Source organism: Homo sapiens, chromosome 1 (genome assembly GCF_000001405.40).
Source record: "Homo sapiens chromosome 1, GRCh38.p14 Primary Assembly".
Classification (NCBI taxonomy): Eukaryota; Metazoa; Chordata; class Mammalia; order Primates; family Hominidae; genus Homo; species Homo sapiens.
Window position 1 is genome coordinate 220,600,811 of NC_000001.11, and position 17,150 is coordinate 220,617,960.

At 35.8% G+C, this 17,150-nt stretch overlaps 1 protein-coding gene across 11 annotated transcripts in view; it reads left to right on the forward strand.

The window, feature by feature from the left end:
* Window positions 1–17,150, forward strand: part of MARK1 (microtubule affinity regulating kinase 1) — a 136,326-nt gene that overhangs the window by 72,675 nt on the left and 46,501 nt on the right. For all 11 annotated transcript variants that reach the window (XM_017001305.3, NM_001286124.2, XM_005273134.6 and 8 more), the window contains 2 exons: window positions 3,257–3,327; window positions 15,129–15,185. In XM_017001305.3, coding sequence (XP_016856794.1) covers window positions 3,257–3,327; window positions 15,129–15,185 — 128 coding nt within the window. The remainder of the gene's footprint in view (window positions 1–3,256; window positions 3,328–15,128; window positions 15,186–17,150) is intronic.

The following is a 17,150-nucleotide window of genomic DNA, read 5'->3' on the forward strand; positions in this document are numbered from 1 at the left end:
ATGTGAACTAGAATAAAAAGGATTTATCTAGTCTGTAGCAACTAAACTATATTTATACTGTCTCGTATTTCTTTTCTTTTTCTTTTTTTTTTTTTATTTTGAGACGGAGTCTTGCCCTGTAGCCCAGGCTGGAGTGCAGTGGCACGATCTCGGTTCACTGCAAGCTCCGCCTCCCAAGTTCACTCCAAGCTTCGCCTCCCAGGTTCACTCCATTCTGCTGCCCCAGCCTCCCGAGTAGCTGGGACTACAGGTGCCTGCCACCGTGCCCGGCTAATTTTTTTGTATTTTTAGTAGAGATGGGTTTTCACCGTGTTAGCCAGGATGGTCTCGATCTCCTGACCTCGTGATCTGCCTGCCTTGGCCTCCCAAAGTGCTGGGATTACAGGCATTAGCCACCGCGCCTGGCCTCATATTTCTAAAAAACTACTATAGATGTTAATATATTTAATTGCTTTTGCAGTTGTTTATACAGATTGAATATTTTAGTCTTTTTTTTTTTTTTGCAAAACTTTTGTCACCTGAAAAAAATATTTCAGTGTAGGTTCTTTGACTTAACTTGAAAATCTATCATTAATGTTTATTATGATAGGATTTTAAAAATTGTATTAAAACAGCCATGTAAATTTCCATAAAATGTGGATCTATAATAAAACTAATGAATCTACAGATACCACATAATGAACTATTTCTCTATTTTTATGTCCTTCAGTTAGATTGCTATAATAATCTGTCTCATGGGAACCCCAATTATTATTTTTAGTTTAGTTAGACTCTTTTCTTCCTTTTAGTGATATAAAATTTAGAGAAAGGGGCTATACCCACTTTGATATGGGAAATCATAGACTGCTAAAATTCTGTAGACACCCTTCTCTTTTTATAAAGGCCCACTGCAAGGCTTTGTTAATATTAATATGTGTACTGACTTAATGGTTAATGGTAAGTACAGTCAACTCTCTATTGGTGCTAATGAAGGGGAGTAATGGCTAGAGTAAGAGTATGTAAGGCCTTCACCACTCTCCTTCAGTAGCATATTTGGGAGGCACAGTGGGGAGTAGTGTAGAGAAATGGGTACAGGAATTCAGACCACACCAGCCAGTCTCATTAAATCCTGATTCCTGCGATAGGTTTTCTTTGAGTTTGCAAGTTAGTGATTCTGTAACAAAAACCATCATGGTTCTGTGGCAGTAAATCTAGAATGATTTTCTTGCCTTTTTAATCCATAAATGGCAAGGTGACTCTGGAAAATAAAACACTAAATATTTTTCCTCTGAAATTTCTACTTAGTTTAGGATCAAATCTGACATGTACACTAGAAAGGTAATGTGAATAAGAATTAAGTCAGACAACTGCCTCTTTGCCAAGAGTTGATTCTGGTTCACTAATGGAATGAAAATTTTCAGTGATTAGAAAATCAAAGAAATCTTTTTTTTATTTTGAACCATGTTTAATCCAAAGGAGCCTATTAAAAGTAGGTTTCAGGACTACTGTGGAATGATGTGTTTATTCTTCCTTTTGTTCTTTCAAACAACATTTATAAAATGCTTACCATGTGTCAGGTAATGTTCTAGGTGCTGGGAATACATAAGTGAGCAAAGACAAAGTCCCTACCCTCAAGACACTTACATTCTAGTTGGGGAAGTAAATCATACACAAACAATATATGATAAGTACAGGACTATGTCATGTAAATACCTGGGGTAAGTGTATTCTAGGCAGCACTTAAGAGTAGATCCAAATTTTTTGAACTCTTGTATATATCTTTCCTAGCCTAAACTCAGATATCTAGAATTAACTGCTATGATGGGTTAACTAGAATTAACAACTATTACCACATATCTAGAATTAACTACTATGATGAGTCAACTAGAGCATCCATTCATTTCTCTGTTCTCATCATCCCATTTAATCACTTAAGTATGCTTAATATTATATAATATGCTGTCTAACATTGTAGATGTATTAGTTTCATGTGACATACATTCATTACGTATTTGATTTTTAATATTTTATTTATATCCTAGGATTGATATTGCATATATATGTAATATATCTGTATACCTAGGTACAAAAATGCAATTTATTGAGTGCTTACTATATGCCAGTCGCTGTGCTAAGCACATGCATTATTTCATTTAATCCTTACAACAACCATGTGAGTAGACAGTAGGTAGAAACTGAGTCTTAATGAAGTTAAGAAATCTTCCTAATAATGTCTTTCAGTAGTACTTAGGGCTAAAACAAAATTCATACCAAAATTGGTCTGATTCTAAAGTCTGAGTTTTTTTGTTTTTACCACTTTGCTATACTTTACAAGAACACTTTAAGCCATTTTGTGAGTTTTTAATATACATGTATATCTATCTGGTACAAATTATAAGGACACAAAAATAAATTTAATCCTTATACTAAGATAATATTTTATTTTTAAAATTGTAACTCAAGTTTAATTTAGTTTTAAGCTATTACTAACTAGAGAAAAAGGAGAAAAACTTACAGACATGTAAAGTAATGGATCCAGTAGAAAATTTATACAGCTTCTAGTTCTTTTTAAATTATTTCACCAAACATTTATCTATCCACTTCGTGTTCTGCCATGAAGATGAAGATGCAAATTAAGTACAGATATTATGATGATTTTCAAGTAATTTACAGTTCAGCTGGGGTATTAGAGATACACACACAAATGATTTAATTCTGTATAATTTGTGGCTGACTACTAGAATGTATGAAATGAGTAGAGTGAGAATAAACACAGAGTATAGGAAAGGAAAGAAATAAATCAATGTGGATGGAAGTAGTGAGATGGAATTTTATCCAGACTACATGACAGGGAGAATTTAAAAGAGCAATCCAACAAAACACACTTCATCATTTTGTTTGAAACGTAGGCCCCAAATACAAAGCCAAATGTAATTTTTGATTGACCAGGCTGTGGCTTCCCTTTACTAGAATGTATAATAAAGAGTTGACTGTATTTTTACATAATACTTGAAAGCAGAAAGCAAGTTTTCTTGGTTGTGTTTTTATGACTTATTTTTTAAAGAGTTTTGCTAAATCACAAACTGCTACAGATACTCAATTTTATATGTAATTTTTTCCTTTTTTCTATTCATGTGTTAGTTTGTAACTTACATAAACTAGCAGAAAATTGTGGGCCAAAAGTTTCTTTATAAACAAGGAAAAAACTTGACATTGCATATATTGTTAACCAAAAATCTATGTATATTTTACTACCTGCTTTACCTTTCTGATTCAGGTGAAGTATTTGATTACTTAGTTGCCCATGGAAGAATGAAAGAGAAAGAGGCCCGTGCAAAATTTAGGCAGGTATGGAAAGTAGTTTTCAACTTTGTTTTGCTGATAATTGTAGCGATGTACAATGGACAGTATTACAAACTGGACTTCACAGCACATGGTATTTTAAAAAGAAGAATTCCTGCTTTCTTATATTTTTAAGGATGGAAAACTCCTAAAAAATAAACCTTTCTGAATTTAAATTTAAATAGTTGCAGATGGTTATTTTCAGATTGTCATAAAGAATAAATATTTATAGATGAGACTCACCTTATTAAGACTCTCTGAGAGTCCTGGAAACGTAGACTAGACTGAGATAGAAAAAAATTAGTTAACCCTTTGAAGTCTTTATCCAATAATTATTATAAATTATTACTGGCTTTATATATACAGCATATATGTGTACTGTTTAAAGAGTTTATTGTATTATATTTTTTTAATTAAAGATGTTTTGGTGTTTAAACTCATTTTTGTAGATTTAAAGAATATGGTCAATTTTATTTTAACCAAGTAGGCAAGAAACTCCAAATTGTGGCAGAGGAATATGGTAAGATACTCATATTTCCAGTTCAACTTGAATATGACTTATTACAGAAATGATAAAATAAGAAAAAATAAATTTATCTAGAATTTTATTTTTAATTTTTAGAACTGAAGTGATTGAAATAAGCATACATATAAGTTACCATATAAATAGCAAATTAGTGAATTGTAAATTGTAAGCATACATATAAGTTACCATAGAAATAGCAAATTAGTGAATTGTAAATTGTAAATTGTTCATAAAATTTACTAAAGTTTAAGTGGATAATTTACTATATCCTAAACTTTTATTAAATTTAGAATTTTAAAAATGGCTCGCTACCTCTTCTGCCTGCATGAACACTTTAATTCTACAATTAAAGAGGTTCTGTAATCAGTATGTTCGGAAAAGACCAAATACTGATATAAGATCTTTCTCTAAGATACATATGTGTGTGTTAACATGTTAAACAAATAGAGAAGTCCTGAAAGGGAGGGGAGGAAAAAGCCTGTTTAACTTGTTGTAACATGGCATTCTCCAAATTGACCATGAAATGAGTGTGTTTGTTTTGTGAAACCTCTGTTATTAATGTTTCACAGAATTATTGCTTTTTGGAACACAATTTGTGAAATGCTTTATACCAAAGGTATGCATAGCACTTTTATTTGTGATAGATTCCTAGAAATATTCGTGTTAAAATAGCTGAATGTAAAGACAACTAGTAATAAGGAAAACAACTTTAAGAAACTGAATGGCATTCAACCACGTACTGTAATATTATTTTCTATCCTGGGATGGAAGTTCAAGCTTACCCTTAAATAAAGTATTACACACATCATTTTTTTAAATTTTTATTTATTTTATTTTATTTTATTTTATTTTATTTTTCTTCCTTTTTTAAATTATACTTTAAGTTTCAGGGTACATGTGCACAACATGCAGGTTTGATACATAGGTATACATGTGCCATATTGGTTTGCTGCACCCATCAACTCATCATTTACATTAGGTATTTCTCTAATGCTATCCCTCCCCCAGCCCCCCACCCCACGACAGGCCCCAGTGTGTGATGTTCCCTGCCCTGTGTCCAAGTGATCTCATTGTTCAATTCCCACCTATGAGTGAGAACATGTGGTGTTTGGTTTTCTGTCCTTGTGATAGTTTGCTGAGAATGACGGTTTCCAGCTTTATCCACGTCCCTGCAAAGGACAGAAACTTATCCTTTTTTATGGCTGCGTAGTATTCCATGGTGTATATGTGCCACATTTTCTTAATCCAGTCTATCATTGATGGACATTTGGGTTGGTTCCAAGTCTTTGCTGTTGTGAATAGTGCCACAATAAACATATGTGTGCATGTGTCTTTATAGTAGCATGATTTATAATCCTTTGGGTATATACCCAGTAATGGGATTGCTGGGTCAAATGGTAGTTCTAGTTCTAGATCCTTGAGGAATTGCCACACTGTTTTCCACAATGATTGAACTAATTTACACTCCCACCCACAGTGTAAAAGCGTTCCTATTTCTCCACATCCTCTCCAGCATCTGTTGTTTCCTGCCTTTTTAATGATTGCCATTTTAACCATTCTAACTGGCGTGAGATGGTATCTCATTGTGGTTTTGATTTGCATTTCTCTGATTACCAGTGATGTTGAGCATTTTTTCATGTGTCTGTTGGCTGCATAGATGTCTTGTTTTGAGAAGTGTCTGTTCATATCCTTTGCCCACTTTTTGATGGGGTTGTTTGTTTTTTTCTTGTAAATTTCTGTGAGTTCTTTGTAGGTTCTGGATATTAGCCCTTTGTCAGATGGGTAGATTGCAAAACTTTTCTCCCATTCTGTAGGTTGCCTGTTCACTCTGATGGTAGTTTCTTTTGCCGTGCAGAAGCTTTTTAGTTTAATTAGATCCTAATTTGTCTATTTTGGCTTTTGTTGCCATTGCTTTTGGTGTTTTAGTCATGAAGTCCTTGCCCATGCCTATGTCCTTAATGGTATTGCCTAGATTTTCTTCTAGGGCTTTTATGGTTTTAGGTCTAGCATTTAAGTCTTTAATCCATCTTCAATTTTTGTGTAAGGTGTAAGGAAGGGATCCAGTTTCAGCTTTCTACATATGGCTAGCCAGTTTTCCCAGCACCATTTATTAAATAGGGAATCCTTTCCCCATTTCTTGTTTTTGTCAGGTTTGTCAAAGATCAGATGGTTGTAGATGTGCGGCATTATTTCTGAGGCCTCTGTTCTGTTCCATTGGTCTGTATTTCTGTTTTGGTACCAGTACCATGCTCTTTCAGTTACTGTAGCCTTGTAGTATAGTCTGAAATCAGGTAGCATGATGCCTCCAGGTTTGTTCTTTTTGCTTAGGATTGTCTTCACAATGCAGGCTCTTTTTTGGTTCCATATGAATTTTAAAGTAGTTTTTTCAAATTCTGTGAAGAAAGTTATTGGTAGCTTGATGGGGATGGCATTGAATCTATAAATTACCTTGGGTAGCATAGCCATTTTCACAATATTGATTCTTCCTATCCGTGAGCATGGAATATTCTTCCATTTGTTTGTGTCCTCTTTTATTTCGTTGAGCAGTGGTTTGTTGTTCTCCTTGAAGAGGTCCTTCACGTCCCTTGTAAGTTGGATTCCTAGGTATTTTATTCTCTTTGTAGCAATTGTGAATGAGAGTTCATTCATGATTTGGCTCTCTGTTTGTCTGTTATTGGTGTATAGGAATGCTTGTGATTTTTTGCACATTCATTTTGTATCCTGATACTTTGCTGAAGTTGCTTATCAGCTTAAGGAGATTTTGGGCTGAGATGATGGGATTTTCTAAATTTACAATCATGTCATCTGCAAACAGGGACCTCTTGACTTCCTCATTTCCTAATTGAACACCCTTTATTTTTTTTTCTTGCCTGATTGCCCTGGCCAGAACTTCCAACACTATGTTGAATAGGAGTGGTGAGAGGACATCCCTGTCGTGTGCCGGTTTTCAAAGGGAATGCTTCCAGTTTTTGCCCATTGAGTATGGGGAATGCTTCCAGTTTTTGCCCATTCAGTATGATGATATTGGCTGTGGGTTTGTCATAAATAGCTCTTATTATTTTGAGATACGTTCCATCAATACCTGGTTTATCGAGAGTTTTTAGCATGAAGGGCTGTTGAATTTTGTCAAAGGCCTTTTCTGCATCTATTGAGATAATCGTGGTTTTCATTGTTTGTTGTTTATGTGATGGATTACGTTTATTGATTTGCGTATATTGAACTGGCCTTGCATCCCAGGGATGAAGCTGACTGCATTGTGGTGGATAAGCCTTTTGATGTGCTGCTGGATTTGGTTTGCCAGTATTTTATTGAGGATTTTTGCATTGATGTTCTTCAGGGATATTGGTCTAAAATTCTCTTTGTTTGTTGTGTCTCTGCCAGGCTTTGGTATCAGGATGATGTTGGCCTCATAAAATGAGTTAGGGAGGATTCCCTCTTTTTCTATTGATTGGAATAGTTTCAGAAGGAATGGTACCAGCTCCTCTTTGTACCTCTGGTAGAATTTGGCTGTTAATCCATCTGGTCCCGGACTTTTTTTGGTTGCTAGGCTATTAATTATTGCCTCAATTTCAGAGCCTGTTATTGGTCTATTCAGAGATTCAACGTACTCCTCGTTTAGTCTTGGAAGAGTGTATGTGTCCAGGAATTTATCCATTTCTTCTAGATTTTCTGGTTTATTTGCATAGAGGTGTTTATAGTATTCTCTGATGGTAGTTTGCATTTCTGTGGGATCAATGGTGATATCCCCTTTATCATTTTTTATGGCATCTATTTGATTCTTCTCTCTTTTCTTCTTTATTAGTCTTGCTACTGGTCTATCAATTTTGTTGATCTTTTCAAAAAACCAGCTCCTGGATTCATTGATTTTTTTGAAGGGTTTTTTTATGTCTCAATCTCCTTCAATCCTGCTCTGATCTTAGTTATTTCTTGCCTTCTGCTAGCTTTTGAAAGTGTTTCCTCTTGCTTCTCTAGTTCTTTTAATTGTGAGGTTAGGGTGTCGATTTTAGATCTTTCATGCTTTCTCTTGTGGGCATTTAGTGCTACACATTCCCTCTACACACTGCTTTAAATGTGTCCCAGAGATTCTGGTATGTTGTGTCTTTGTTCTCATTGGTTTCAAAGAACATCTTTATTTCTGCCTTCATTTTGTTATTCACCCAATAGTCATTCAGGAGCAGGTTGTTCAGTTCCCATGTAGTTGTGCGGTTTTGAGTGAGTTTCTTAATCCTGAGTTCTAATTTGATTGCACTGTGGTCTGAGAGACAGTTTGTTGTGATTTCTGTTCTTTTACATTTGCTGAGGAGTGCTTTACTTCCAAGTATGTGGACGGTTTTGGAATAAGTGCAAAGTGATGCTGAGAAGAATGTATATTCTGTTGATTTGGGGTGGAGAGTTCTGTAGATGTCTGTTAGGTCTGCTTGATGCAGAGCTGAGTTCAAGTCCTGGATATCCTTGTTAACCTGTCTCATTGATCTGTCTAATATTGACAGTGGGGTGTTAAAGTCTCCCATTATTATTGTGTGGGAGTCTTAAGTCTCTTTGTAGGTCTGTAAGGACTTGCTTTATGAATCTGGGTGCTCCTGTATTGGATGAATATATATTTAGGATAGTTAGCTCTTCTTGTTGAATTGATCCCTTTACCATTATGTAATGGCCTTCTTTGTCTCTTTTGATCTTTGTCAGTTTAAAGTTTGTTTTATCAGAGACTAGGATTGCAACCCCTGCTTTTTTTTGTTTTCCATTTGCTTGGTAGATCTTCCTCCATCCCTTTATTTTGAGCCTATGTGTGTCTCTGCACATGAGATGGGTCTCCTGAATACAGCACACTGATGGGTCTTGACTCTTTATCCAATTTGCCACTCTGTGTCTTTTAATTGGGGCATTTAGCCCATTTACATTTCAGGTTAATATTGTTAGGTGTGAATTTGCTCCTGTCATTACAACGTTTGCTGGTTATTTTGCCCAATAATTGATGCAGTTTCTTCATAGCATCGATGGTCTTTACAATGTGGCATGTTTTTGTAGTGGCTGGTACCAGTTGTTTCTTTCCATGTTTACTGCTTCCTTCAGGAGCTATTGTAAGGCAGGCCTGGTGGTGACAAAATCTCTCAGCATTTGCTTGTCTGTAAAGGATTTTATTTCTCCTTCACTTATGAAGCTTAGTTTGGCTGAATATGAAATTCTGGGTTGAAAATTCTTTAAGAATGTTGAATATTGGCCCCCACTTTCTTCTAGCTTGTAAGGTTTGTGCCAAGAGATCCTCTGTTAGTCTGATGGGCTTCCCTTTGTAGGTAACTCAACCTTTCTCTCTGGCTCCCCTTAACACTTTTTCCTTCATTTCAACCTTGGTGAATCTGACAATTATGTGTCTTGGGGTTGTTCTTCTCAAGGAGTATCTTTGGATGTTCTCTGTATTTCCTGAATTTGAATGTTGGCCTGCCTTGCTAGGTTGGGGAAGTTCTCCTGGATAATATCCTAAAGAGTGTTTTCCAACTTGGTTCCATTCTCCCTGTCACTTTCAGGTACACCAGTGAAATGTAGATTTGGTGTTTTCACACAGTCCCGTATTTCTTGGAGGCTTTGTTCATTTCTTTCTACTCTTTTTTCTCTAACCTTATCTTCTCGCTTTATTTCACTAATTTGATCTTCAGTCACTGATAGCCTTTCTTCCACTTGATCGAATCGGCTATTGAAGCTTGTGCTTGCATCACGAAGTTCTCGCACCATGGTTTTCAGCTCCATCAGGTCATTTAAGGTCTTCTCTACACTGTTTATTCTACTTAGCCATTCGTCTAATCTTTTTTCAGGGTTTTTAGCTTCCTTGTGATGGGTTCAAACATCCTCCTTTAGTTTGGAGAAGTTTGTTATTACAGACCTTCTGAAGCCTACTTCTGTCAACTTGTCAAAGTCGTTCTCCGTCCAGCTTTGTTCTGTTGCTGGCAAGGAGCTGCGATCCTTTGGAGGAGAAGAGGTGTTCTGATTTTTAGAATTTTCAGCTTTTCCGCTCTGGTTTCTCCCCATCTTTGTGGTTTTATCTACCTTTGGTCTTTGATGTTGGTGACCTACAGATGGGGGTTTTTATGTAGATGACCTTTTGGTTGATGTTGATGCTATTCCTTTCTGTTTGTTAGTTTTCCTTCTAACAGTCAGGTTCCTCAGCTGCAGGTCTGTTGGAGTTTGCTGGAGTTCCACTCCAGACCCTGTTTGCCTGGGTATCACCAGTGGAGGCTGCAGAACAGCAAATATTACAGAACAGAGAATATTGCTGCCTGATCTTTCCTCTGGAAGCTTCGTCCCAGAGGGGCAGCCACCTATATGAGGTGTCTGTCAGCCCCTACTGGGAGGTGTCTCCCAGTTAGGCTACATGGGGGTCACGGACCCACTTGAGGAGGCAGTCTGTCCATTTTCAGAGCTCAAACACCATGCTGGGAGAACCACTGCTCTCTTCGGAGCTGTCAGACAGGGACATTTAAGTCTGCAGAAGTTGCCTGCTGCCTTTTGTTCAACCATGCCCTGCCCACAGAGATGGAGTCTAGAGGCAGTAGGCCTAGTTGGGCTGCGGTGGGCTCCACCCAGTTCAAGCTTCCTGGCTGCTTTGTTTACCTACTCAAGCCTCAGCATTGGCAAATTCCCCTCCCCCAGCCAGGCTGCTGCCTCGCAGATCAATCTCAGACTGTTGTGCTAGCGGTGAGCAAGGCTCCGTGGGCGTAGGACCCGCCAAGCCAGGCACGGGAGAGAATCACCTTGTCTGCTGGTTGCTAAGACCTTGGGAAAAGCGTAGTATTTGGGTGGGGAGTGTCCCGTTTTTCCAGGTAGTCTGTCACGGCTTCCTTTGGCTAGGAAAGGGAAATACCCCAACCCCTCGTGCCTCCCTGCCCTGCTTCAGCTCGCCCTCCGTGGGCTGCACCCACTGTCCAGCCAGTCCCAGTGAGATGAACCAGGTACCTCAGTTGGAAATATAGAAATCACCTGTCTTCTGGGATGATCATGCTGGGAGCTGCAGACCAGAGGTCTTCCTGTTCGGCCTTCTTGGAATGTCCCTCGACATGTATTTATTTTATTTATTTATTTTTTATTTTTATTTTATTTTTTTGAGACAGAGTCTTGCTCTGTCACCCAGGCTAGAGTGCAGTGGCGCTATCTTGTCTCGCTGCAACCTCCGCCTCCTGGGTTCAAGCGATTCTCCTACCTCAGCCTCCCAAGTAGCTGGGATTACAGGCACACACCACCACGCCCAGCTAATTTTTGTATTTTTAGTAGAGATGGGGTTTCAGCATGTTGGCCAAGCTGGTCTTGAACTCCTGACCTCAGGTGATCTGCCCACATCGGCCTCCCAAAGTGCTGGGATTATAGGCGTGAGCCACTGTGCCCAGCCACACACATCGTTTTAAGTATTATTCATTTAATATCAGTCACAGTAGCTTTTGTTAGTAGCAGACCAGCAAGAAAGTTCCAATTTGCGTTAAATATTCCCATTAGAATCCTAATGTATATTTTAAAGATTATTGCTACTTATTTTTTAAGGCAGCTAGTTTTACTTATTTTTTGATAGATGTAGAAAATTGTACTGGGTACTATATGGAATTAGAGAAGTTGGAAATGCCTGCTATTTTAAAGAGCTTTCCATCTTTGCTGGTGAGCGAGAGCAGGATAAGAGGTTGGGACATAGGTATTTTAATAGAGATACAAATAATTACTAAAATTGGCTTGGTTTTTTAAATAAAGTCTGTAATATTTTGAAATCATCTTCATATTCTTTACATTGCAGAGACTGAGTGCCAAATGAATGCTATATAAATTGTAAAACAATGGCAAATATTTTCTTTATAATGTATTTATTTACTATAAATTTTAAATGTATTTAGTATCTATATATGTTTTCCCAAAACTAAAAAAGTTACTAACTCACATTTTTACAAACCAGAGATATGTAAACATACATACACACATGCACACACATACATTATTTTGTAGTTACCTGACTACAGATAAATTTATACTTAAATTTATTTTTGAGGAGCTTACTTTTATTTATGGATTTGATTTAAACTCTTATGGACTTAATGAATATACATTTACTTTTATTTGCTTTTTTATTTTAACAGTGAAAGAATGTATGTATTAATACTGTGTCAACAATAATAAATGTATATACATCCTTGACCTTACTCTTAGAAATACCAAAGACACTTGGGCAGTTTAAGACCACTGAGCAGCCATTGCCCATACAATGCTTTTACATCCCTTAAGACTTGAGCCTACAGAAAAAAAAAAGTCGTAATATTGATTCAATTCTTGCAATATCAAGTCTACCACTTATAAGTATTAACAATTGCAAAGTAACCGTGATAACTCCACCTCAATGGAAAACACTGATGTGTGTGGTCTTACCGTCAGTACCCAGCTGACAGTAAATCATGTTTTCAGGATCCATTAATAGAAGGCTCATAGGGAAGTTCCGATATCCTATTTATGGAAGTACAGAATGGTTTGAGATGGGAAGGTCTAGCTGTAAAATAATGCAGTAAAAATTGGGCTTGTGGAGGGGGATTCTTGCATTGAGTCAGAAGGCAGAACTTCTTTCATGGCAGAAATTGTTCCCTGCTAAGCAAATGTGGTAATACTATAATAAACTACCACATTTGACTGATAGCTCAGAGTTCATAGAATTTGGGGAGAACACATGCTTAATGCAGAGGATTCTTTGTAATTATCTTTGCATTCTTGATGCTTTGAGGCTCAGGAAATGTTTGATTCCAGAAGTACTTATAGAACTGTTTTCATAGAGACCATTCTGTCTGACATGAGTTGCATGGCCTCTGATCATGTTTGGTAACCAAATTATTATCTGTTGCATACCTTCAGTGGCTCATACAAACATGTGACTAACAAAAGATAATGTAATTATCAGCAAATTTCTGGCACTCATGATACGAAATAATCTTATAATATGAACATACTATAACCTATATAGTATGTCTAATAAAATATACATATAAATGTATGTATCTTTTGGCTAATGAACATAATTCAGTGAAAATTGGGTATTAGAATTTTGAAGCATATTGCTTAAGAAAACTAATACTACAAATTTTCATCATTAGAACCTTCTGTATTTTGGGGAATCATACTTCAAATTGATTATAATCATTCCCAGTCACCCTGCCCAAGAACATCTAGTGGTTCTGCAGTACCTGCCTAGTTTTGAATTCATGACTTTGACCAACCTATTTGTCAAGATTTGACTCCCACTGTCACCATTTTTCCACCTCCTTTTCTTTAAATGATTTTTGGTTTGGTTTGGTTTTGTGGGGTTTATTTTGTTTGTTTGGTCGGTTGGTCTGTTTGTTTGTTTGTTTGTTGTTTTTGAGACAGAGTCTCACTCTGTTATCCAGGTTGGTGTGCAGTGGTGTGAACATGGCATACTGCAACCTCGACCTCCTAGGCTCAAGAAATCCTCCTGCCTCAGCCTCCCGTGTAGCTGGGACCACAGGTGCACACCACCACACCTAGCTAATATTTTTATTTTTTGTAGAGACGGGGTCTCACTGTGTTGCCAAGGCCTGGTCTTGAACTTCTGGCCTCAAGCGATCATCCTCCCACTTCAGCTTCCCAAAGTGCCGAGATTATAGGCATGAGTCCTACCTGCTTTTCAAATACACAGTTCCCTTGTCATTAATGCATTTCGTCACCTCCCCATCCCCAGATCTCCACATTTTAAAATATTTCTGTCCTTCAAGGATGGCTTAGACCAAATATCACCTCCTTCAGGAAGCATTTCCAACTGAAATTATTCTTTATTTTTTATGATTCTCTCATAAAAGGTAGAGTTCTGTGATTCTACCTTGTATTATAGGGGAATAATATATACCTCTCTATATACAATATATAGAAAGGTAATAATATATACCTCTATATATAATAATATATACCTCCATAATACAAGGTATATAGAGAATATATACCTTATTTTCTCTTCTTAATCAGATTGTAAGCGCCTTAAGGACAGAGTCCACTTAGTATTCATTTTTGTATTTGCCTAGCAACCATCACATTTCCTTGCACATAGCAGGTACTCAATAAACTGTTGAATCAAAATGAATTAAATGGAATTGTGTATTACTCATTGTGTGTTGATGATTTTGTTTTGAATTCATGTTTTCTCTGTCTTCAAACCATTTTAATATACATTAGAATAATTTTATAATACTGAAATATCAGTTTACTTGTACTTTGAAGTTTTTTTTCCACCCATATTCCTATTAGCATGGTCATACTTCACATCACCTTTAGACTTTTAAAAAAATCTCATTTTTGTCTCCATTTGTAAATGCCTAACATTCAAACTGTTTTTATATTTAACTGAATCCACAGAACTGAATGTTCTGATGTACATTAAAATGACTGTCCTTCTATTCATCAGATGTAATTATATGTACAAAATAGTTCTTAATTGATTGCTATCAGATGCTTTCTATTTCTGTATTTTATGTAATAAAGAACTATCATAGAATTGTTTATAATCTATTTCTCTCATAGTTTTGGCCTTTAAACTGTTGGGTTCCTCCTTGTTTAGTCCTTTTCTCCAAAGAGCCCTGTGTGATAGTTAAAAATTATGGCTGCATACAAAATCAAGTTACAGGCATAGAATACTTCACCTGACTGAATTAGTGACAGGTTTAAGATTGAATTTCATTTTTCCCTCTTTTCTGTTGCTGATCAGGTTTCTTTTTAAGGCTCAAACATTTTCCTTTCTCTTTATATATGAACAGATAAATATAGATATTGCTAAATACCTCATTGTTAAGTTCTTAGTGATTTGGCCTCACTAAAGAAACATGCCTTGAACACATTTGATGTAATTCCTAGAATAGAGTTTTGCTTTTTTAACTTGAGACAATTATCTTAAAATACTAATTCATGTGTGCCAAAGCTTTTATTTCAACACTATAATAAACCATTTGGCCAAAACTATAAATTGTACACATTCAGTCACATAAACAGAGAACTATAAATGATCCATATGAAATCTTCACAGCCTCTGACAAAGAAATATTTTATTGTATTTTCGCAAGAGAATATTACTTTACCATATTTTCTGCATTTAACAGTGAAAGTTTCATCACTTTAATGTGTATAGTTTTCTGAACTAAAAGCATTGCATATTTATTAAATATTACCTTGAAATCCGAATTAGTAATTTATCTAAATTGGAGGTGATTATTGGGGAAAATTGCGTTTTTTTAATAATTTGACTCTTTTATCCAAATGTTTATTCCAGATTGTATCTGCTGTACAGTATTGTCATCAAAAGTACATTGTTCACCGTGATCTTAAGGTAAGCTTCTGAGTGTAATTTTTTTAAAAAAAAAATCGTTATTATTAACATATATTTAATAATAATATTAGAGCTGTCTATTTTATTGCCTAACTGTGCTGCTGGACACTATACAAGTAGTTAGTTTTTGATTCTCACAGCAACTTTATGAAAGGTAATATTTTCACTGAGCAAATGAAGAAAATATGAGTGATAAGTTTTCTAGCTTTAGAAGTTAGACGATTTGATTCACTATTAATTAGTTTGTTTTAAATGCATAGATATGGAACTTCGTTCCCAGCCAAAAGTGTGGGACCTCAGGCAGAAGCAAAGTCAGAGCACAGACCCATGTTTCCCTTACGTAAGAGACAGTATTCACACTCTACCTTAAAGCTCAAAGAACTAAGGAAAGTTGTAAAACATTTTTATGAACATTAAATGTGTATAATAGTACAAATGAGCATACTTTGGAATAAGAAATGTGTAGTTAGTCAATAAATGGTTGTGCCACATAGATTTTGTTGAAAGTGGAAACACCCTGGACTAAAATGTTTATACCTGTTTTTCCTTTTTTCTCTAATCTTCCAAATTTAATTTGCATTGTCCCTTACATAGGACTCTTATTTTTCTGTTTTACTTTTTTCCTCATCACCTTTATCAACTACTATCACCAGTTTGGGTTATATTTGAATATATTATCCTAAACAGTTGTCAAAAAGTCAAGTCTAATTCTGTATTTTAGCTTCATTTTTCAGAGCTTATGAATTTTCTGTTGCTCCAAATTTTTCTATTTCTTGGTTTCCTTCCTTGGCTATTTTAAGGGGAATCACTTCTATGATGAATGAGAAAGAAAAGAACTGTTCCCCTGCTTCTGTGTTTAACTCCCAGTTTATCATCTCATTTCTTATATGAAAAAAATCTGCAAAAAATAATCATGTTCAAAACCTTGTGTTTTCCCTCCAGTCCAATAGAGAGAGTTTTCCTGTACATTCCTGGAAGGAGACCTCAGAACCCCTTGCAGCTCTTCTCTTCTGAGGCAGCTTGGATACTTTGATATCCATCCAGACATTTTTAGAGAGACTGAAAAAAGTCCAGCTTGCTCACAAACAGCTGCAGAAATTTACAATGACCAGCCCCTTACATCAGAACATAAAAATAACCTGGTTTTGTCACAGTTCAAAAATGTGACAATCTAATATAAATTTTTCCAAATATATGTGCTTTTATAGTATTTATGTGATAAATTATACCCTATTTTTATTGTATATTTTGGGTTCTAGGTGTATCTGCATTTTCCAAAATAAAATGAAAACAAATATCCCAAGCTAGTATACCATAAAAAAGAAGAAAAGAAAGGTTGTGGTGGGTAGGGAGGGAAGAGATAGATGATGGGCAGAGTGCTTGACTCTTATAATTGTTGGACCTTCCAGTAATATAGAGAAATCTGATTTTTGTTTTAGTCAAATTTTATTTCTTTTTGGAACCTGATAAAACACATCTACAAAGTAACCTATTACTTTGTTAGTCTATCCATCCATTGTAATAGAGTTTAAAATAAAACATGTACAAAAGCAAGTCCTTTATTGAGTTGCTTCTGTTTACAAAAGGGACATGTAAAATATTGTCTTTGAGTGATTCTGCTTTAGGATTTTGGAAAACCATCTCAAAACGTGGAAAATTCATTGTTTTCTATGTAAAATATACATCAAGAAGAGAATCTAGTTTTAGAACAGCAAAAAGAAGCTTAAAACAGACAAGATATAATGGAGGCTGTATTTTTTGGTCATGTTTTACTGAAACAGTACTTTGTTGAGAAAACATTCTACAAGAGAGAACAAAGGAATGAATTAGTAGTCACAGAACCTCTGACAGGCAGTTACTGTAGATATACCTTTGAGCCTTGCTTTAACCAACAATACCCTATTAAAATAGAGCTCCTTTGGGTAATCATGTTGGTTTAAGTCCCAGATGGATTCGTATTATGTT